The sequence below is a fragment of the Homo sapiens genome, chromosome 3, assembly GCF_000001405.40.
Source record: "Homo sapiens chromosome 3, GRCh38.p14 Primary Assembly".
NCBI classification, from domain to species: domain Eukaryota; kingdom Metazoa; phylum Chordata; class Mammalia; order Primates; family Hominidae; genus Homo; species Homo sapiens.
In genome coordinates, this window is record NC_000003.12 from 117642414 (window position 1) to 117667104 (window position 24691).

At 37.5% G+C, this 24691-nt stretch overlaps 1 long non-coding RNA gene across 1 annotated transcript in view; it reads right to left on the reverse strand.

Annotated features, from left to right (window-relative positions):
• The window catches only part of LOC124906270 (uncharacterized), a 35110-nt gene continuing 10419 nt past the window's right edge, over positions 1-24691 (reverse strand). The window contains exon 2 of the long non-coding RNA XR_007096022.1: positions 1-24691. This exon is cut by the window's right edge and continues 8271 nt beyond it. This is a non-coding gene — a long non-coding RNA (uncharacterized LOC124906270).

Here is a 24691-nt window from a genome sequence, read left to right on the forward strand (position 1 = left end):
TTTCTTTCTTTTTTTCTTTCTTTCTTGTTTGTTTGAGATGAAGTCCCATTCTGTTGCCCAGGCTTGAGGGCAGTGGCAGGATGATCTCGGCTCACTGCAACCTCCCCCTCGTGGGTTCAAGTGATCCTCCCACCTCAGCCTCCCGAGTAGCTGGAATTACAGGCACACACTACCACACCTGGCTAATTTTTGTATTTTTAGAAGAGACGGGGTTTCACCATGTTGGCCAGGCTGGTCTCAAACTCCTGACCTCAAGTGATCTGCCTGCCTTGGCCTCCCAAAGTGCTGGGATTAAAGGCGTAAGCCACCGCGCCCAGTCTGCTCTGTTTTTTATTTCTATCTCTCCCTATCTCTTTACTTTCCTACGGGTTACTTGGATATTATTTACTTGGATATCATTTTTGTCTATAGTATTTTCAATTGCATGTCTTCATATATAATTTTTATTGGTAGTTCAATGTATTTACAATATAAACATAATTTGTCACAGTCTATCATTATCAACATTTTATTGTGAGTGAAGGGTAGCAACTTTACCTTCCTATATGTCCCTTTACCATTTATAATCCAGCTGCCTTAAATATTTCTCCTATTCATATTGAGAATCACATCAGCAAGTGTTAAAATATTGCATCAACCATCAAATATAATTCTGAAAACTCAAGAAGTGAAGGACAATGTATTACTTTCACACATATTTTTATGCTTTATTCCCTTTTCCCTCCTAATGTTCCAAAAGTCCTTCTTTTATAATTTCCTTTCTGTTTAGTGAGATTTCTTCAGCCATTATTTTAGGGTAGATCTACAGGTCACAAATTCACTTAGCTTTCCCTCCTCTGAGAATGGCATGATTTTCCCTTCATTCCTAAAGGATAGTTTTGCTGTATATTGAATTCTGGTTTGGGAGTTCTTTTAGCATTTGAAAAATGCATCACTTTCTTCTGGTGAGAAATCTACTATCATTCAATTTTCTTTTTCTTTATAGCTGAGGCACCATTTCTCTCTCACTGCTTTCAAGATAGTTTTTTTCCTTTAGTTTTCTGGAGTTTTACTGTGAAGTGCCTAGATATAAATTTCTCTGGGTATATCTCTTAGGGGTTTACATTAGCTTCTTTAATTTTTAGGTTTATTTCTTTTGCCAAATTTGGGAAATTATAGTCACTATTTCTTTGAAGACTTTTTCAGTCTTGCCCTTTATATCCTATTGTTTGCAAACCCCAATGTCATTAATATTAGATCTAGCCCCATAGGTTTCTCAGGCTCTGTGTTTTTTTTTGTTTTGTTTTTGTTTTTGTTTTTTTAAGTCATGTTCTCTCTTACTCAGATTGGGTAATTTTTATTGTTATATCATTGAGATCATTCACTATATTGTCCATTCCTTTCCATTCTGATGTTGAGCTTATTTGCTGAGTTGTATTTATTTTTGTTATTGTATCTTTCAGTTCTAAAATTTCTATTTTTTTTTTACTTTGATTTTAAGATCAAGGGTACAGGTGCAGGTTTGTTACATAGGTAAACTTGTGTCATGGGGTTTGTCGTACAAATTATTTCATCACCCAGGTATTAAGCCTAGTACTTATTAGTAATTTTTTCCTGATCCTCTCCCTCCTCCCACCCTTCACCCTCTGAAAGGCCCCAGTGTGTGTTCTTTCCCTCTATGTCCATGTGTTCTCATCATTCAGCTCCCACTTATAGGTAAAAACATGTAATATTTGGTTTTCTGTTCCTATGGCAGTTTGCTAAGGATAATGGCCTCCAGCTCCATTCATGTCCATGCAAAGGACATGATCTCATTCTTTTTTATGGCTGTGTAGTATTCCATGGTGCATATGTACCACATTTTCTTTATCCAGTCTATCATTGATGGGCATTTAGGTTGATTCCATGTCTTTGATATTGTGTTTTTTTATCATCTTTTTTTTTTTTTTTTTTTTTTTGCTAAAGGTTTGTAGCTCTTTGCTGAGCTTGCATTTTTTCATTTGTTTCAAATGTGTTAGTAATTGCTTACTGAAGCATTTTTATAATGGTTTTTAAAAAATTATGTCAAATAATTTAACATATCTGTCATCTCACTATTGATGATTATTGATTTTTTAAAAATTCCAGTTGAGATTTTTCTGGTTCTCTGTATAAAGATTGACTGGAACATATACATTTTGGGGTTTATGTTTGGAGACTTTGGCTCTTATTCAAACCTTCCATTTTAGTTGGCTTCTTCTGACAGTGCTTCAGCATGGAAGCAAGGAGGGGGCCTCATTACTGCCAGGTAAGGGTAAAAATCTAGTTTCTCTGCTGGGTCTCCATTGTCACTAAGAAAGGAATGGCTCTGTTATTGCTGGGCAGGGTTGGCTGTTCCAACTGATAATCCTATGTCTGGGAGGGCTAGGAGTGCCTCCTTGCTGTTCCTCTTGTTGTTTCCACTGACAGTGGAGTGGCCTTGTTACTGCTGGGTGGTGGTTGAGAGTTCTGGCTCTCTACTAGGGAGGACACAACCTCAGTGTAGAGAGGCGGGGATACCTTGTTACTGTCAGGCACAGGCGGAGGTCCAGTCTCCTTACTCCACCTACCCAACAGGGTAGCTTGAGGCACTTCATTATTGCCTAGTGAGAGTGGAAGTTTAGGCCTTCCACTCCCTTCAGTCTTTTCTGGCCAGGGTGAAGATTGGGCCACAGTATTTTCTGTGGTGTTTGGCTGAACTAGAATAGTTATTGGCTAAAAGTTTCCTGTTTTATGGTCTGCTCCTTTCCTGGTATTTTGGCTAGAGAGAGCCAACTTTTGCAGACACTTGTATATTTGTTGTTGTTGGTGGTGCTGCTGTTTGTTTCGTTTTTCTCTGTACCTGTTGGTGTTTTTTGTTTCGTTTTGTTTTATTTGTTTTGAGGGTGGAGTCTTGCTCTGTCAGGAGACAGAGGTGGATACAGACTCCACCCTGTACAGGGTGAGTACAGGGTGGAGTCTTGCACCGTAGCCCAGGCTGGAGTGTGGGTGGCGCGATCTTGGCTCACTGCAACCTCTGCCTCCTGGGTTCAAGCAATTCTCCTGCCTCAACCTCCCGAGTAGCTGGAATTACAGGTGTCCACCACCATGCCCACCTAATTTTTGTATTATTAGTAGAAGTGGGGTTTCACCATGTTGGCCAGGCTGGTCTTGAACTCCTGACCTCAGGTGATCCACCCACCTCAGCCTCCCAAAATGCTGAAATTACAAGCATGAGCCACCGTGCCCGGCCACCCGTTGGTATTTTTAAGTTGCTTTTAAGTTGCTGGCTTCTTCACCTACAAGTATGAGATGAATGATACAACAAACTAACAAACCCTGGGAACTCACCACTGTATCAGTCTTAAGGTTACTAACCTATCTGCCCTCCTCTCTACAACTTTCAGAGTCTTCTGTTTGTTGTACATGTAATGTCTAAGGTTTTTAGTTAAACTTAGTGGGAAAAAGAGGAAAAAGCACTCTATTTCATCTTCCCAGACATGGAAGTCTAAATTCTGGATTTTTAATTTATGCATTAAGTAATTAATCTTGGAATAGGTCCAATGTCTTCATCAAACTGACAAAGAAGTCTGTGGCACACAATAGGTGAAAGAGCCCTTCACTAGGCATCCTCTCAGAATGAGTCATCCAAGCCACTCTGCCTTTCATTCTGTCCTTAGAGCTGACGAAGCTGACCAGTTGTTTTCATAGTATTAAACCCATCCACTGTACTCTACCTGTGAGTTGAACACCAAATGCCCATCACAATTTCTCATCCAATTCTTCTACCTGTAAGCCAGGCTCTGTCTAAATCTATATTTTGTCTGACTATGGGTAATATTGTATATTTAGTTCCCACCTACATGAATATGGGCACCAATTATGACATAAATCAAAAGTTGGACTCAAAGTCAGTGTCCCAATCCTAGATCTTACTGAGATCACTATAACATGTTGGAAAATAAAATGTAAGTAAAAAAACTTTAGTTAGTCAAATGTATTTTTTTAATCATTTTCAAGATACTAGGGTAAAAACATTCATTCCTTCATTTTGAAATAGTCACTTGCAATGAAAATAAACATCGACATGATTCAAGCTTCAAAATCAACAACTGAATCAGTAAGTTACTCTCAACCTAAGAACATGAATTTCAGTTTGGGGAAAGAAGGGTAAGCCAGATGTTGCCTATCCAGGTAATTCCTTGCATCTTTCTGCAGGAATAGAAGTTCATCAAAGCCTCACAAAAGCCTCTTTCATGCATAAGTTCTCTTAGTGCTAGTTGCACTAGCAGTGCTAAGAAGGAGAAAGAAAAAAAAGAGAAATAATAAAAAGTAGGTGGATTAAAGTAGAGGTGAAACCTTTCTTGACCAGGATGAAGCCTGTCATGCTGACTAATATTCTTTAGCCCCTAAGTGGTCTTTGCTGTCAGCTGTGGCATTCTAAAGTATTGAAAACGAGGGTATTATTCACGGAATATATTTATTGATCTTCTCAAAATGTGGTGGGTATGAGATTTATGATTGAGAAATAGTATTAAGTAATTAATTTATTTACTTATACAAGTGCTGATCTTGGATTCCTTGTAAATTAAATTACCTACAAGGACAGAGTCATGAAAAGGACAACCATGCATCTCTGTGTAGTTAGTAAGAGTAACTGAGTCAGGAAATATTTTGGGCCTAACAACTGGCTCACCTGACTTGGCTGGATGGCCACTCCTTAGCCATGTATAATTTTTAATAATTTGTTAATCTATGGTTCAGATGAAGGTTTGTCCAAGTAAAAAAAAAAAGAATGTTGAAAATGGAAAAATACTAGGCAGATGTATAATTTTCCTCTATCCCACTCTTTCCCTGGGCATTGGAATTGTTTACATTGAGCAATTTGAGATACACTTAAGATTCAAGCAGTAACTTTCCCTGAACACAGGAAAAATATGGCTCCAATGTTTGACTACAGCTGCAATCTATGGATTTAAATAACAAAGAAACTTAAAATTTAAGGGTAGGACTAACCAAAGGAAAACATGACAAATTTCCAGTTACTTATTTTCCAGAGGGGAGGTTTTACTTATTCTTACAGTGCTTCTGGATACCAGCTGACTACAGGGGTACCTGCCCCGCCATCATGCAGTCATCATTACAGTAATTCCCACAACATCTTCAGGTTCAAGTGGCTGCAGGGTGAACGTGACTGGGCACAGATGGTCAGGGAAAAATGGAGTTGCTATGCAGATTAGCATATGAAAAAATTAGTGACCCACCCTCCTGAAGCCTGTGCCCAGCACTGCTCCCTCAGGCCTCCAGACTGGAGGACTGCAGAGGAAAGTATGTTCTTTCATATCCCTTTCCCCTCTTGGTCAGTATTGCACCTCCAAACAGCTAGGGGATAATGAGGTAAAAGCCAGAAGGACTGCTAAAAAGCATCACCAGAGAAAATGGTTTTGTGCAACAAATATGCACGAAATGGAATTACGGCCTTGTGTTCTCCAATCACACAAAAAAGGGGACACTTGTGGAATCTTTCCTTCTTTCTCTGTGTTTGACTGACAGAAGATATTGAAGTGGCTTGATGATGAAAGGAGTGCTTAAGACTCAAAATCATAACTTTTAGTTCATTTTCAGTTATATTCAAAACTAGAGCATTATGAAAGGTAATCTCTACAACATACTCCTTCAGCGAAAGAGAACAGGGGTGACAAAACACAGGGGTAGCACAGGGATTCCTTGCTCTATGCTTCGCAGGCAGAGCACCAACCATCTCTTTGTTCTTTCTGCCCATTTTTCAGGTGATTGGGAGGAAGGCCTGAGAGGAACACAGGTCTTCTCTGTGAGTGACTCTTTCCCACAGCCCCTCCTTTTATTAAAAGCTCTGTAAATTTTCTGCAAAGCAACCATCCTTTCTTTTTACTGGCTTCTAGATCTCACTTCAACAAACAGTGAAGAAGGAGTGTGGTAGAGGAGAGAAGAAAACAAAAGGATGACAGAGCTAAGAAGGACAGAAATGAAAAGAGCATTCGTTCAGTCTGTTCTCTCATTATCGTACCTCGGAACCTTGGAAGATTCTTTTTTGAGAATTCTTTTCATTATGATGCTAGGAAAATGATAGACTGGAAAAGCCAGAAATTCTGAAATTCTATAAAACATGATCTCATCAATAATGTATACCTTCCCTACAACTTGCAGAAAATAACATATTAAAATGTCCAATTTTAAAGAGGAAACAAGGCTGTGTGCTGTAATATTTTTCATCCAATATCAATGCTCTTGCGCATACATAATGTGTTCCAGTGATTTCTACAGTTTCTCCCCTGACTGGCTCCCTGACTTGGATACGTATTCCTCTGTTAGAAGAGAGGAGCCCTGGGCTCTCAGTCTAACACAAAACATGCTGGGGGTTCGGGGTGGGGTTCACAGGATATCATTATTTGTAGTTTGGATATCCTCCAAGTACTTTCTTTAAGCTACCTTGGGGCTGCTCCTCCCCGTCATTTTTTCATGCTCCATTGTATAGTCAAGGTGTTGGCTTCACATTGCTCATCTGCAGTACTAAAACAGGCTCTCCACTTGCTCTGAAATATAAGACTGGTTATGGAAAAGAGATTACAAAAAGCTAAAGGATTCAGGTAGGTTTCATACTATTCCAGCTCAAGGGAAATGTTAATGTGTCTTGATGGGACATCATTAAGTCTTTATGATAGCATAAAAGCAAAGTAGGACTGGTAAGTGAGACATAATATCCTTCGGATCAGATTTGGAAAGCTGGTCTTCAGGAACTCTAGTATTTCAGCTGGAAAATGTGCACATACAGGATCATTGATCATTCTTGTGTGTTTCACTATTCCTCCAAAATATTAAGAAAAAAACCCTATTATAAAGAATAATTTAATAATACGCTTCTTCTTTAGCTGTCTGAAAAAATACAATTAATATAGTCTTAAACATACTTATTGACATCAAATTACATTATATAAGAAATCTAAGATAGGTACAAATGACTTTCAGACTTAAGGAATATTGGCGCAAAAGAACACCAGATACTATCTAATCCAGTGGTTTCGAACAGATTTTTGAAGAACCTTGGAACTATATTGAAGTGCCTCAGAGGCTCTGGGATAAGGGCAGGAAAGAGGTAGGTAGATACCAAATAAACAGAGTCTGAATGCTTTAGTTTGCTTCAACTGGAGGTTTCGTTTGTATCTGTTTTATACTGTCTCATAGTATGACATTAAAAAAATTATATACATACTGATTGAAACTATCTCCTCTTTATTTTAAAAAATATCACCTTTTTGCCTTTTGAAAAAGATTAAGTAAAATATAATAATATTGTAAAAAATCATATATAAAATGTGTATTTTAAAATAATAAAAGTAACATAAATCATATATCTTTTGTAATTGAGGGGTTATTTTTTGGTAACAGTTATATTACTTATATGTATCACTAAATACTACAGACTCCCCACGCTGCCAGACTTTTATGTCATAATTTTTCTCAACTTAAGATTGCATTATCATATCTACTAAATTAACATCCTAAATTACTTAAAATAAATATGCATGGATGTGCATCTGTGTATTGGCCATGCAAATTAGCCCATGCAAATATGCTTATAGATTAAAACGAATCAGGGTATAGAACTAAATCAAATCGGTTGGTCAATTTAAATTTTAATAAATCCTGCTACTCATGTACATTTAGGTTAAATGTTCATTGTGATTTGTGAGAACTTTGCACCTCATAAGGCTTCAGATACCCTGAGCTGTGGGAGCAGCCTGTGAGGGGCAATATTAAACGCATTGCTGACGGAGTCACTAAAAAAGCTAATATGAAGATGATGTTGTAAAAAGGAAACAAGAAGAAAATAAACATGTTCATGGAAAAGCAAGTTAAAAATTGTGCTATGATGCAAGCTGTTGAAAACAAATTAGATGTACACTGTACTTGCAACCCAGCAGTTGATCAACTGACCAGTTCAGGCTTCAGAGAACAATTATGAATGAAATTATAAGTAATTACATAGGTGGAAGGATATTTCAGAATCAAAGGATAATAGATGCAAGAGCTGAAAGTGATACAGGTAATTATAAGTAGTATTTAAAACCCAAATGCCTACAAAGGCATTTATAACCTGATTCCATGAAATGGCTTGGGTGGAAAGACCACTGAGCAGGATGATTATGATAAAGTGTAAACAGTCTAGACAGGCTAAAAGGGACAACTTTCATCAGGTTGAGCCCACTGCAATCATTCAGAAACTATGTTACTAGTGATTGAATTTATCAAGAAAATTTAAATACAAATCCCCTCATATTTTTAGCTGGGTACTTAATGAACAAAATAGAACAAAACTCTAAGGACTAAATAAAACATGTATGTGACTTGCAATCATTGACACATATGCTCTCAGAGTTTATTGTTGAGCGAACTGAGTTGCAGAGAGGTCAGCAGTACCCAGAGGCTCCTGAGTGGTCATTCACAGCTTCGTTTTCAGATCTTCTCATCTCTAAACAACTTGGAAACAATGAAGGGGAAAAAACCTTCCCTCTGTCCCACTTCTCATATTATCTCTTTATTGCTGGAGGCTTAAGTGATTGTCAATTGTGAAGGCTGGCTCCTCAGTTTCAGCCTAATGACATTTTGGGCAGCTCAGTGGTGGCCCTGCCACAAATGAGCCACTGCCTTTGCCCTTTTCAACTTTTGCTTATTCCCCTTCTTTTGATGGCTGTAACATCAGCACTCTTCTTGGGCCAGGACTAATCCATCAAGACCTTGAGGGGCAAGAGGTTACTTCTCCCTGCCAACTCCTTCTCCTACACAAAATTCCAGAAAAATCATGCCCTCCCACCTACTAAAAAAGCTACAAGTTATTTTAAAGGTTTAGGTCAGAACATATTCCAATGGCATTAATTTTTCATTTCTCCTTCATGTGCCCAGTTTTGAAATTGTTCCACTTTAAAAATATTTTTATTTTGCTATTTTGGTTTCTACTTTTTGGCCGACATTCATTTCTGTCAAGAGGAAAGAAGCAGAGAAGCAGTATTGTACGTGTCAGATGGAAGGAATCTGCTAAGTGTCATTGAAATAAAAGACAATGACCTATATTCTGCAGCTGTTATGCATGAGCACGCTATCCTCAAGAATAGGGTTAGGGTTAGAGTAAATTATTCCTGAGAAATAGCTTATGCAAACATTGCAATCTCTAAATACTGTCTAATAAAAATGAAGCAAGCTTCTTTTTAAAAATCTAATTTCTAAGTAAATGGGTGTCTTGCCACTGAGCATAACCTCAAGAGAAGTAACCTTGCCATGTCTTGCCAACTGAATAGCATTATAGCTTATCAATATGGACAGCAAAGTTCTGCAGCAAGTTCCTCTTGCAAAAGGAAAACACTCTGGTTGACGAGGAGAATGAAGCATTGTGTGTGTTCTTATTAGGATAATGTCAATTGGGAACTTACACCTAACCTTAGGAGGTGAATGAGGACAATCAAGTATTCTAAAGATATCTATAAAGTTATCCCTCTAACTCTTCATGTGATGTGAAGAGAATGGATTCAACTGGACTTTAACCCATCCAAAAAAGTTACACTTTTTACTCATTGGGAGTTCTCCAAAAAGACATTAAGAACTAACATATCTGGGGTCATGCTAGGTACCAAGAACCAAAAGCAATGTAATATTATCTCCCACTTCCAGGTGTAAAAGTAAACCACAATCAATCAAATGAGAAGACAAGCCACAGACTGGGAGAAAATATTTGCAAAAGACACATTTGATAAAGGACTGTGTTACAAAATACACAAAGAGCACTTAAAACTCAACAATAAGAATACAAACAAGCAAATTAAAGATGGACCAAAGACCTTAACAGACACCTCACCAAAGAAAATATACAGATGGCAAATAAGCACATGAAAAGATGCTCCACATAACATGTCATCAGGGAAATGTGAATTAAAATAAAAATAAGATACTACTATATACATATTAAAATAGCCAAAGTCCTGAACACTGACAACATCGAATACAGGAAACTCATTCATTGCTGGTGGAAATGCAGAATGGTGCAGCCATATCAGAGGACAGTGTAGCAGCTTCTTAGAAAACAACATGTTTTAAAACACATGATCCAGGAAATGTGCTGCTTGGTATTTACACAAAGGAATTAAAAACTAATGAGGACACTAAAACCTGTCAGTGGATATTTATAGCCGATTTATTCATAATTATCAAAACTAGGAAGAAATCAAGATGTCCTTCAGTAGGTGAATGGATAAATAAACTGTGGTACATCCAGACAATGGAATATTATTCAACACTAAAAGGAAGCTATCAATCCATGAAAAGGCAAGAAGAAAGTTTAAATGCATATTACTAAGTGAAAGAAGCCACACAACTTATGATTCCAACCCTGACATTCTGGAAAAGGCAAAACTGTGGAGATAATAAAAAGATCAGTGGTTGCCAGAAGTTGGGTAATAAATACATGAAACATGGAGGACTTTTTAGGCAGTGGAAATACTCTGTATCATACCACAATGGTGGAGACATGTCATTACACATTTCTTCAACCCTGTAGAATGTACAACACCGAGAGTGAACTCCAATGTAAACTATGAGCATTGGGTGATTTTGAGTTGTCAGTGTAGGTTCATCAGTGGTAACAAATGTACCACTTTGATGGTGGATGCTGACAGGGGAGAAGGCCATGCAGGTGTGTGGGCAGGGGGTGTATGGAGAATCTTTCTACCTTCCTCTCAATTTTGCTGTGAGCCTAAATCTTCTCTTAAAAAAATCTTTAAAAAATTCAAGTACAACATATAAAGGAAGTATTTTGACAAGATGGAAAATATTATCAAGTATTGGTATGCTTGATATTGCAAATACGATTTCCTTTGGCTCTGCCTGGGGAGATGCCCTTTACTAGGATGATGACATAAGGGCAGAGGGTGGAATTTGGTGCAGAGGAAAGTCAGGATAGGGCAGGGAAGAGGAGACCATAGGAACTGACGGCATTGAGCCCTGAAACTGCAGGGTTACTTCACCTGTGGTCACATGCATTCACATGAGGCTGAGTGGGGGAGTGAAATAAACCTTCCCCAAAGAGGAGTGGTGGAGATTCTACAGTCTAGTCCTATTTTTACTACAAAGTGATTATTCTTTGTTTAAGAATATTTCATATTGGAAGATTGAATTATACAGAAAAGTAAAATGGGATATTATATAGAAAGTACTCGTTTAGGAGACAGATAAGAAGGCTAAAATATATATCTTCCCACACAAACACACACTACCCCACGGTCTAGAGGGTGACCCTTGGAGATGCTTTAATTTGCCTCTCTTTTCCATTTGACTTATCCATAGGTGGGCAATGCAAGCATTAGGAATAATTCTCATTGAGGCCTCAGTAAGGGAGCAGCTCCGTAAGTCCATGCCATACCAAGAGAGGACATGCACACATATATGCATCCTCTCAAAGTGAAAGCAGTTCTGTTCAAATATTGCAAGAGCAACTGAAGGACAATCAAACACAACTGTGAGGGTTCTGCTCTTGCACAGGATCCCAAAGATAATTCACTCTGGCTGAGCTGGGCTTGGTTTTCTTGGCTTAAATCTGCAAGGCTGTCTCCTGTTGGACAAGCAGGTTTCTGACAAGAGGCGATTGTTTTCAGCCACACTCTTAAAGACTTAGAGCTTCAAGCAAGAGAACATAACTGAATCAATATCTCTGAAATTGCTCTTGGACCAAAAATGATCCCTCATAAGCTTGACTGACATATATTGAGTTGCCACATTAGAATATAAGCCCCCTGAGAACAGGAGATGTGTTCACTTGAGCCATTGCTGTGAATTACAGATTGAACATAGAGTCAGCATATGGTAAGTATTCATTTCATACTTCTTAAATTAATGTCTTAAATATTTAGGGTATTTATTTAAAATAAATTAACGCATTAAATGTTCAGGATATTTATTTAAAATTCTCATCTTGGGGCATTGAATTTTAACTTAAATATAGATTTTTTCATAAGTAGCCAGGCTTCTCTCTCCCTCCACCTTCTGCACACACAAAAGAACACTACTGTAGATAAACACTTGCTGTAATCAAACCCTAGTGTCCTATAGAAATTAAAATGTCCTGAATATTTTTGCCTTCTGAGCTGTCTGTGAAAGTGGGTGTTGGTATTTTCAGAGGGACATAATTGTTAAACCACGGAATGGAACATCCCATGTTATTGTTATAGCAAACAATAACATCCCATAGTTATTGTTTACTCAGAGTGGAAAAACTTCTTTAGGATACATTTGCTATAAGAGATTTGTTAGTATTACAAACACTAATGAGTATTACAAAAATGTCTGGATCTCTCTCCATAATGTGATGGAAAGGCTCAAAGAACATTTTTAATAAACATACTCACTTCAAAGCCTGTAATCAATAGAAAGTCTATACTCAGTCACATATAACTTAAAACATTTTCAATATACTTAGATATATAGCTTTAGGTCTGCCTCTCTAACATTTAGAAATTATAATAAAATAAATTTTATAGATATTGATCAATTTAAAATATGGAAATTATCAAAGTTGAAGCTTCTATTTAGCCTAGCAAATAAAATTTGGCCTTCTGTTGTCACTAGGTTGGGAAATCACAAAAATGATTATTTCTCTTTTTTTACCTGAAGTATGTGTGATTGATTTGATATAAGTGCATTAACTATAAAGTGAATTAAATATTATTAGCAAATTTATCAAGTACCTATAAGAGACCAGGAGAAGAAATACAGTGTCAAATTAAACAATATAAATTGAAAATAAATCTATGGATATATTAATTAATTTAAGAATTTGAGAACTAACTATAAGCTAAGCATTATAGGTACTAAATAGCTAGTTATTACACATGAGGCAGATAGTCAAAGATACGTGGTTCCTGCCTTACGCATCTTACAATCCAGTGGTGGAGATAAAAGTCAATAAAATAATGACATAAATGTAAAATTTCAAAATGTGATAAGTACTCTGAAGGAAAAGCGTATGATGTACAGATGACATGTAACAGGTGTCCTGATCTGGGCTGGAGGGATGCAAGAGAGATGTTCCTGATACAATAATGCTGGAACTGAGATCTGATGGATGAGCAGGAAGGAAGTGGAGGTAATCAGGTGGGCAAGCTGGATAGAAGGGAGAACACAGCACAAGTAAATCCCCATGGCAGGAGAAAGCTTCTGCTTTCTGCAAAGATGTAAAATTGGCTAGTGCTGCAAGAGCAGAGAGGATGAGGCAGATGAGGTTTTTGGTGTGGCTAATAGACTGGGAGGTCACAGAGGGCCCTGAGGTCATGGTAGAGATTTGATCTTTTATTCTCAGAACAATGGGAAGACTTGGAATGTTTTTAAGCATAGGTGATTTGCATTGTGAGGACACTGCTGCTTACAATCTAGAGAGTAGACTGGAGCAGAGCAAAAAAAATAATTTGAAAAATAATTGAAGAGGGTTTTTCTTTTTTTTCTGAAGTCGAGACAAATTGTTGTAAGAGTTTGGACTGGAGTGGTGGCGGTGATTGCACAGAGAAAGAGAAGTACATGGATTGAGCAGCATTTAGTAAGTAAAAGATGTAGGGTTTAGTCATACACTGGATATGGGGAATAAAAGAAGAAGGAGCCAAAATATCTTCAGAATGTAAAAGGCTAAAGAACTCTGAGATGCTGACATGGGTTGAATTGTGTCCTTCCAAAAAAGATATATTGGAGTTCTAATGCCCAGTCCCTCAGAATATGACTTTATTTGAAGATAGGGTCTTTACAGAGGTGCTTATGTTAAAATAAGGCCATTATGGTGGGCCCGAATCCCTGATACCTGATTGGATTCAGTGGCAGGTAGGCATAGAGGCCAGACTATGGGAAGAGACACAGAAGCCAAGGAGAAGCCAAGGAGAAGCCAAGGAGAGAAGCCTAGAACAGGTTATTCCCTCACAGCTTTTAGAAGGAACCAAACGTACTGACACCTTGATGTCAGACTTCAAGCTTCCAAAACAGTCAGATAGATTTCTGCTGTTTAAGCCTCTCCATCTGTGCTATGTGATTATGGTAGGCCTAGCAAACAAATACAGGCACATGTAGCTAAGTTAGTTATTCTTTTCACAATAGACACATGCTTAAGAGGTCATAGAGAGTTGCTGCATACCCTTCATCCAGTTTCTCTTAATGTCATCATCTTACAAAACCAAGGAAAAACAGTCAAAACCTAAGAAATGAACATTGGTAAGTTACTATTGACTACAATGCTGTCTCTATTTCACTTTCACCAGTTTTTCTGCTAATGTCTTTTTCCTGTTCCATGATCTAATTCAGGATCCCACATTACATTTAGTTCTCATGTTACCTTAGTCTCTTCCTATTTGTGATAGTTTCTCAGTCTTTCCTTGTTTTTCATGATCTTGACAATTTTGAAGAGTGCTAGACAGGAATTTTGGTGAATATCCTCAAATTGGTTTGCCTGACATTTTTGTTTTCTTTGATTATACTAGCGTTATAGGTGTAGAGGAAGAATACTAGACAGGCAGCATGCCCTTCTCATCCCATCCCATTAGAGTTATATGATACCAACATGCCTGTTACTGGTGACATTAACCTTGATAACCTGGTCAACATAGTGTTTGCTAGATTTCTCCATTGTAAAGTTGCTAATAGTTTTTCCTCACCGTACAGTAATTCTTTGGAAGCAAGCTTCTATGTTCTGCACACATTCAATACAACAGGAAATTTAGATTATATTTTACAAGACGAAAAGAAAATAGACTTTGGTGCACCTCTAGTTTTTGAAATTATATTTATTTATTTTTACTACTGGCTTGACCCATCCATCAACAGTGCACTAAAATAGGAAACATTATAATCCAACCGTCCATCAGAGCAGAGCTTCTGAGTCCTAAGTATTGCTTTTAGATTGCAAGAAAATTACTAATGGCCGAAAGGCAATGTAGAAATTGCAAGGCAGAGAGGATCAACTGGGGGGCTCTGGAAAATTAACTGCACTGAAAATATTTACAAATATTGCCTATGACTCAGCAGATTAAGGTCAGCGTATGTTCTTAGATGACAGCGCCTTCAAAACCAGACCAAATTATTTGCTAATTCCTGACAGACTTGGCTAGGCACAGCATAATTATTAAGGGAATTCACGAAGTGGTGGTGAAAATAGGCATGAAATCCATGGATTTCGCTGGGTAAGGAGGTGTGCCTCACTGTTCACCTCTCACAAAGGTTGGAAAGCAGTTTGTATTCTGTCAAGAGTGATTTGCAACAGTCACCTTAACTGTTGAAACCACCTAGCAGTCCAGGACTAGATGGTGGAGCCTTAGACATCATCATTACAAGCATCTCCTGCTGTTTACAGGGAACCAAGGCCCAGAAAACTTCAGGGGCACTCTCAAGTTTACAGAAAAACGTATTGGTCCAGGAGGGACTAGTGTGAAGATTCCTAACTTTACTCAAGTGTTTTTCCAGCTGTCTCCTGTTCTCTCTTATTTTAGGCTTCCTCCTGAACTCAGCAACAAGATTCAGAGGGTTGTATAGCACCTGGTCCAGAAGAGCTATGCAAGCCAGGTGAATAGAGTCTTAAATGATGACTATAATACGCATATAAACTCCACTCTGCTTTCAGTTTAAATTAAATTCTTTGTATTCATACAGATTGCAGAAATCTGTTACAAGATGGCTCAAATTTACAGAATTTAGCTTTGTCTTAGGTCAAAAAGTGTTCCCAAAGACTTAACTCAAAAAATAAGAAGCACTAGAAGCTGGACAACATACAATCTATCCAGCATCCAGCAGATATTTTATTCTTATTTTTCAGTAACACAAGATAAATAAAAACTGTCCATATAAACACTTACATGTGATATCAATTATTCTTCCCTTTTATATTTTTACATTATTTTTCAACAGGGAATCACCAGTGAAAGTCCTTTTCATATGAGAACTCTTGAAATATCTACTTGAGCTTAGATAGTCATATTTACTTTTTAAAAATGAGAATAGGAACAAACAGAATAACTAGTTCATTTCAGATATCAAAAAATGATTGGATTATGTGTTAAATTATCAAACACGATGACACGAAGAAATCCTAGATAGTTCAGAGATTTGAGTGCATATTTTTAAAACCAAATCAACTCATATTGCATATCTTTTACCCTGGTAAGTAAGGCCATATTCTAAGCTCAAGACAATTCCTGAATGTCAGACATTTGCATGTGCTTGGGCATCTAAGAGTTCACTGAATGAATTAGAGTTCTATAATTCTAAGTTTGCATCTATCCATGTCCTTGAAGAAGGGAATTTAGACAAGTATGATGGTAAATAATTATCTTCTTTTTGCTGGTTAAATTAGCTGGGTGTGGAACTTACTTTCCTTCTTCCTACTCTCCTTCTCCCTCTCCTTCCCTCATCTCCTTCTCTGGCATCTTCCCCATCACCACCACCTGCACCATCACTTTCTTCAGCATCTTCCTCTATTTTCATGCCCTGCTATTATTCCTCCTCCTTCTCTTTCTTCTGATCCACCTACTGATTTAAAACCAATTGCAAGTAATCCAGTATTGGAGTGGGAGGAGAAATGGCATAATTCTTCTGTACCTGAATGGCCTAAGAAGACTCTGACATCTGGAGGACTCCACCAAAAGCTCGGAAGTTGTTTTTACAGTACACTGTAAACAGAAAATGCCAATCCTTCAGGTTCTCATTCAGTGTGCTTTGAGGTTACCTTTAGGTCTCATTTCTCTTTTTTTCTTAAAGTTTATTTACCTAGAAGCACACTTTTGAAGTAGAGTGTGATTATAATTCTGAAAATTCTTAAAATCATTTAATGTCTGTTGCCAAGGTAACAAGATATGGGGCAGATGAAAAGAACAGGGACCATTGATTATTTTGAAATTCTCAAGTCGTATGAATGGTGTGCAATAATACAGCACTAATTAAAGTATGTAAAGGCCTTGGCCCACATTTTAGGCTACTCAAATGTTTCCTCAGACGTGGTAATATTTAACAATCACTAGTACATCAGTTTTCAGTACCCTGGCTTAAATCAATTTTGCTTCTTCCACTTACCCATCTAAAACTTGTTATATGATCTCTACAAGCTTTACCTAAGACCTTGCCCACTTTTACTGTTTTTCTCTTTTAGCTACATTGTAATTGAGCCACTCAATCCTAAGTATATTAATCATAGACAATAACATAATACTCATATATATTGCAGAGCATACCAAAGGCTGGCATATGTATCCAGAAATCACAGGTTATAAAAACAAAGCAAGTAAACATAGATCTAACATTCATTTATCTCAGTATGAAGAACATATGTGAGAGTGTCAAAGTTGCAGCTTTTCTTCCACCGCAAAGTGTACACTATCACTGAAAACATTAAATGATATTATTATATTTTATTATATTCCAATAATTATACTATACAATTAATATGAACATATATACCTTAGATCCCAGCGTACTCCAGAAATAAGAATCAATGACATTTCCTAACACCATGAAATGTGATAGTTAGGGACATTTTGATTTTAATAGTAAATTGTACACTTGATCAACCAGGTTCCACCTGTTCTAATGAATGTATAGCAGATAAATAGGATTATAAAAGTATTATTATCATGATTCTCATCACTTTACTGAATACATCATTATGAAATAACTTAATGGTACACTCATGAATAATAAAAACTCATGCTTCTTCAATTTCAAAGCATACAAAATTATAGATTTGGAAATTTAAGACATTCATTAAATTTAAGAGAGTCATATTCAAACTAGTGTATAATGTTTGTGTATATTTGCCGCACATTTGTCCCAAATAACCAACAAAAGAAAATATATATGTCCATTTAAAAATATGATTCAAATTCAAATAAGTGACTAAAATACTGGAAAGCCATAAAGGAAGAATGGCAGTCACTTTATCTGATATAAAAACTATGACTTATAAATCTGTTTCCATGTTTATTAATTAAGATCAAGGGCTCAAGCATCTGTAGGTGGCATTGAAGGAGTGTTCAACAAGTGCATACTGACTCTCATGGGGTTCATTGGGTCAAGGATCCCTCTGACACAAGCAAGAAAGTGTTCCTTAAAACTCCCCTCAAGGAGAGAGCAGCCAGGGTTTCTTAGAGCAGACTCTATAACTTCAAGATTTGTTTCAAGGGGACATTATAGTGTGAGCATGGTGAAAATTTGTGTGGAGGACAGAGGTGGTGAAAGAATTGAATGAATAGTAGTAAAATCTGGATAGAAAGAAGTTTTCTCATCTTTGCTAGGTTCTCTACCTCAAGAGAAGAGATAAAATATTTCTGTTAAGAATTTAGAGCAAAAAAGCCTACAAAGAGCTCAGACTTCTAAAGGGAGTGGTAGAGTGAAAAAGAGCAATGTACTAGGAGTTATGAAGACTGTCGGGTTTTAGCCTTGATTTGGCAACTAACAAGTTTGCTAAAAAAAAAAAAAAAAAAAAAAAAAAAAAAAGAAATGTGCAAGTCACATCACCTTCTTATGCCTCAGTTGTCTCATCCGAAAAATGAAGAGGCTTGAGCTTTCTGCTATTGAATGTTGCCTTTGGTTCTACCATACTTTGATTCTAAAACAAAACTACCAGGAAGTCTTTGAGGGCTGCTATTATCTTTGTTCCTTTCATTTCCTTGCAGGGCCCACAGTTCCCTGCTCATTGAGAGCTGGCAAATGAATGAGCAAGACTCAAACCTCCTACAAAGCCACATCCCATGACATTTCTAAGTGTGGGGCTCCACCTTCTTCTTTTTTTTTTTTTTCTCTACCTAACTTTGAAGGCCATTTACCTCATTCTCTCATCTCCATTTGTTCCATATCCCTCATCTTCTCCTGTATAGAAACCTGAGTTTCTTAAATAGATTCCCTTTCCCATTATTAAAATAATGGGAATATTGCCTAAGTGCAATAGGATATGTTTCTTAGTTCTCTGTTTTTGTTTCAGATACCATCAAGGCTCCCCAGGTGGTCCTGAGACAACTTAACTCTATAAGCCAGAAGCTTGTGGCTTAGAAGGGCAGATTCCCAACACTTGACATAGCTTCGGTATAGAACAACAAAAATAACATGTCAGAGTTAATTGATTTCAGTAGTCTCTAGGAGCTTCTATCTATCCAGTTGTGCTAACAAAATTTTTCATCAGACAGATATGAGGCCTTTAAAAATATTTCATAATTTGGCTTTGATCAGGGAAGGCAAAAAACAAAAAGTTAAAATTGCTAATGTGTATGCATCTATGAATTAATCCTTAAAATATTCAGTGACTCATATAGGTTAGAAGTTTTCCCCTCTGAATGTGCCTCATTGGCTGGACTCAGAAGACACAGTTTATTGCAAAAAGGGCCCATTATAGTGTTTTCCTGAGTAGATCTCAGAGCTGATTCTCAGTGGTGTCTGACTCTGCCAATTATCCTCCTACTACCTTCTATCTAGGTAGCAGAGGAAAGAGCACAGGTGAGGAGTGGGTGTACATTCCGGTTATATCCTAGAACCAGTGGGACGTCATGAATTTGACATTTATTGAAGGCACAAAATCTCACTGAGTCTCCTATCCAAGCTACCCTGCCTCTGGAAGAAAAGGCACTTCAAGCTGTAATCATGGAGAAATACGAAGAACATTCAGAACCAGAAGTTGCTCTCCTTGTCTGTAATTTTCTACTTTTCTTTTTACTGCTAATGCTGGTAATTAATAAAAGTATTTGTATTTCAGTGAGATTTCTGTTTCTCCTTCTACATTGTTAACATTGGCTTTAAGATCTGACAGTCTGTCCTATTTGTGAGGGCAAGAATAACACTACAAGGTGCCATGGCTTAAAAGGAAAGGGGAAGAAAAATAAGGACGAGGAAAAAGGCAAAGCAAGAATAAAAATTCAAGCCTGAAGACTAAAAGAAGCCTGTTATAACTAAGGATTATTTAATCAATAATACTACTTTTCTTGACTTATCAGAATTTTTTATTTCAGCTCCAATAGATGTGTATAAATTACTTATCTCTGAAAACATATTTTATTTCCCCTAATTGCAGATTTCCCTCACTATATAAAAGCACATTCAAGGGCATGCCATGTGAGTTTTAAGAGAACACTTGTGAAAAAAGCTTATGATCAAATATGATTATTTATCCTAAATAAATTATTTTATTGCTGTTAACCTTTGTTGGGTGATCCTTATGCATTCTCTATAATGTAGTTTTATTTGATTTTTACAGCAACCCTATGATGGCATATTATTATTATTCCCACCATTTTCCGGGTGATGCCACTGAGAATCAAGGAGTTTACTGAGTCTTTGCAAAGCCACACAATGACTTGGAACTAACTATTCAGTCTGTATGATGCAGAAGCCAGTGGTCCCAATGACTACCTCACATTGTGAAAGACAGACCTGTGGGTTTTCTATGAAAGATAATTTGGGCAATATAAGGTCATGAGATGAAAACTGGTAAGAAGTCAGGAAATATTAATGTAAGACTAGGTTCCAGTGTGTGTTCATTATACACTGTTCACTAGATCTTCAGTTTCCCTCTCTGAAATGGGTATAATTATTTGGCCTACCCAACTCCTGAATTGTTGTGAAGGCCAAATAAGATACAGACATATTATCACTTAGGAAACTAAAAAGCTATATGAATATAAATATCATTGTTTCAATGTTACAAGGAGTTGTGTTAATATCCTAGTTTCTTAAATGATGGACAAAGATGCAAGTATGAGCAGAATTGTTTCACAGATTCAAAGAGAAGTAAAGGAGATAATGCAATGAGATAAACAAGAACCATTGGAGGGAAAAAAATAAGAGACAGTTTTGTGGGCTTCCCACAACAGATGGAGCTCAGGGAGACCAAACATAGACCAGAAGTGGAGTCTATCTCATAAATCTATGGGAGTCAGGCTTCCTTGGACAAGACAGAGAAGCAAGTTGATGGGGGCAGAAAATAATTTGAGACTCTCTGGACTCAGTCTATGTTTCCTAGGATACAGAAAAATATAAATCTGTCTGTCAAAACTCACATAATAATAAGCACAGTTTTATCTCAGTATCTGCAGGAGATTGGATCTGGGATGAATACCAACATCTGTGGATGCTCAAGTCCTTTATATAAAATGGCATAGTATTTGCATATAATCTATGCACATCCTCCAGTATACTTCTAAATCATCTCTAGATTACTTATAATACTTAATGCAATGTAAATACTATGTAAATAGTTGTTTTACTATATGTTGTAATTTGTGTTGTATAATTATTTTTATTGTTTTTATTTTTCCAAATACTTTCCAGCCATGGTTGGCTGAATCCATGAATACAGCAACCATGAAATCAGACGCCTAACAGTATTGTATGCAAATGAAAAAGTGAAATAAACATGGGATGGGGTTGGAAATAAGAGGCAGTCCAAGTCTCCTTCCTGAATAAGGTTTTATGTGCAACACCGTGAATGTAATTAATTTTCTGCTGTAGAACATTAGTTCATAATTGTCACTTTCATGTTTCCACTTACTTTCTCCTTAATCCTTTGAGATTCAGATTCTGTCCCCAGCAGAATGAAATCTTGCTTTTTCCCATTTCTTCAACTGTGACATCTCTGAAAACTACTTTCTTTCCCTCCCAACCTTTGAAGGAGGGTGTTACAAAGGCTTAATTGTGGTCCCCATGCTCTTTGTCCTGGACACACTTGACTTTCAACATGTGGTCTCCACTTCAATCTTGTTACCTTTTCTGAGCACCAGTTCTGCCTTTCCCAGAGCCTGGTATCAGTGTTCTGCTATTACCTAAAGCTTGTCTTACAAAATTTTCTCCCTTGTCCCATAAGATATCTCTGCTTTTTGGCTTTTCTTCATATTTTCAGTTATGCCACCATTTTCCCAATCAGCTAAGGTCAAACAATATGAGTTGATCATATCAAAAAAATTAGCCCCTATGACACAACTGAGAGAATTACATTGCAGTCAAATCAATCCCATACCTAACCTGTGCATCATAATTAACCCCTTATCCTTGGACCCACAAAGTGAATTTATTGCCATAGCTGCTCCATTATTTCTGTGCGGAATTTCTTCCATCCACCTGTCTATTCATCCTTACATTCTTTTCTCAGTGCCACCACTCTAATTTAGGTCCTATAACTTCTTATTTTTGAATAACTGACAAACTTTTCTAATTAAACTTGATGTCTCTGACCTCTATATTTCCAATGTATCATTTGCATGCTGCCAGATTAATATTTTTAAATGTTTTTCAAATCAAGTCACTCCTCTAACAAATAATACATTCATTGGCTTGTCAATCAAAGAAGATAGACCTCACTCAGATATTTTAATTCTGCATGTCATTTTTTACAACATTTTCTTTTATTATACCCCTACTCAAACCCTTAGGATCTCTCAAAAATTGTTTTTCACTGCCTTTCTACATGACTTGTGCTTTCCTGCTTTTGTGCCATCCATTTCATGGAGGGTCCCACCATTCATTTTTCTGTGTCTATAACCTTTTATTAACTTTAAGGCAATATGCCTCTTATAAACTTTAAGCCCTGTGTTCATTACCTTCTATTTGCTCATCTATAGCATCTATAGCTATAACCATTACGTATATACTATATGTGTCTAAATTAGTGTGTAATGTACAAAAATAAACGCATATTGTTAAACAAGAATAATTTGCCTCAATGAGTCCTATAATGATACAAATTTAGGTCCTTGAAGCCTCATCTTGTAGCTCACTCTCACCTTGAGAAAACACGCAGACATTTCATCGTGACCTGAAGGTCAACTACTCAGTTTCATGGACAATAGTCCTATGTAAACAATTTCAAATGTCTCATCTTATCTTCTTGCCCATCCATCAAGCTAAGAATCCCTAAGCTGCCACAGATGCTCCCTATAGCCACCTCCCATGTTTAGTGTTGGTAACCTTGCAGCATTAGTCTCACTTCCTTTCACCTGGTGAGAGAAATGCTGGTGCTAGATCATAACCTCGAGGCAGCAGGAAGAACATGCTGGACCTCAACCTGCCTCCTTTGAGAAGCAACTACAGAGCCGTTTGCCGAGCAAGGCACCTGCTGTTGGACGGGTGCCCAGTGCCAGGGAGTGTTTGTCAGCACATGAGACAGATCTCTGCCAGAAATCAGTGAGGCTCCATGTTTCCATCCATAAGTTAAGTTGCAAATATAGCAGAAACAGGAACAAATATAGGACTAACCCTGCATGTGGCTGGGGGTGGTTGTAGGATGAGAAGGAGAAAGACAAAAAAGGACATAGCAGACTATGAGGAGGATAGCCCTCCACATGACAGTGGGAATCAGAAAACATGGGTTTAAATGTGGGTTTTGCAATCATTTCACAATAAGTTCCATTTCTCAGGAATAAAGTTTTAATCTGTTAAAAAAAACAGGATTGCTTTAGATGATCTTCTGGGTTATTTTCAGTTCTTATATTTATATGGTTCTAGGAAGAAAAGTTTCAGAGAAAAGAGAGAAGGAGAGAGAGTGAGCTTTTGACTGGTACTGGATAGATTTACCCATCTATTCATTCTTGTATCTTCCTTTCAGTATATTAAGAAATTAGTCAAGAACAGTTGCACACTGGCTAACATGGTGGAACCCTGTCTCTACTAAAATGCAAAAATTAGCTGGGTGTGGTGGTGAGCACCTGTAATCCCAGCTACTCGGGAGGTTGAGGCAGGAGAATCGCTTTAACCCAGGAGGCAGAGGTTGCAGTGAGCCAGGATTGCACCACTGCACTCCATCCTGGGCGAGAGTGAGATTCCAAAAAAAAAGAAACAGCTGCATAAATTCCCACTCTTTTTCTTCTTTTTTTATCTTTGCCCTTTCCTTCCTTTTTTTTTTCTTTATTTCCTGTTACTTTGCAATACTAGCCTCAGCCACCATCAGAAGCTCACCAGGAGCTCAGCACAGCTCCTTTTCAAAGCAGAACAGATACGATATTTATGGGGTAGCCAGGAACGTGACACTGGCTAGAGTGAGGAGTAACAAGAAATGAAAACATTGAATCAGATCTCACTCCTTAACCTGAGCCCAGTTCTCCTCAGAATCCTCACTGTCCCATGTTATTATTCTGTCACCAAATGACCCTGAGTTCTGCCAGTGCAAAAGTGGCCATGATTCCTTCAGTTTATCAAGAAAACAATATAGCAGTCAGCCAAGCTGCACCACCTGTGTAGTGTCTCCTGATCTTCTCTCCTGCATTAGAAGTATTCGAGCTGAGATGGGTGACCTCACATAACCCCTGCATCTCAAAGATCCTCTGATCTCTTTTTCTAGATCAGAGGTGCTTAAGCCCTAAACATGACACTTGAAAGAAAAGGAAACCCTAATCTTAGCTCATTAGCAAAGCATTTACTTCTCTCCCCTTTTCTGTTTATGTTTTATCTGGGGTCTCTATCTACTTGTTTAAAGTACGTGCTCTGTGTACAGGACTTTCAGGATGCTACTAAGCTAAAGTAAAATTGATAGATTTATATTTTAAGTGGGTTTGTGAATGACGGTTGTGCATAACTGAGGGTTAGTGTTTAGGAAATGAGCATGATATCATCAGAGTTAACGATGGTTGCTAATCCTCATGACCTAGTGATTGCCCATGAATCCTCCCAACCCCTCCCTCCCTCAGCATGCAGTTTT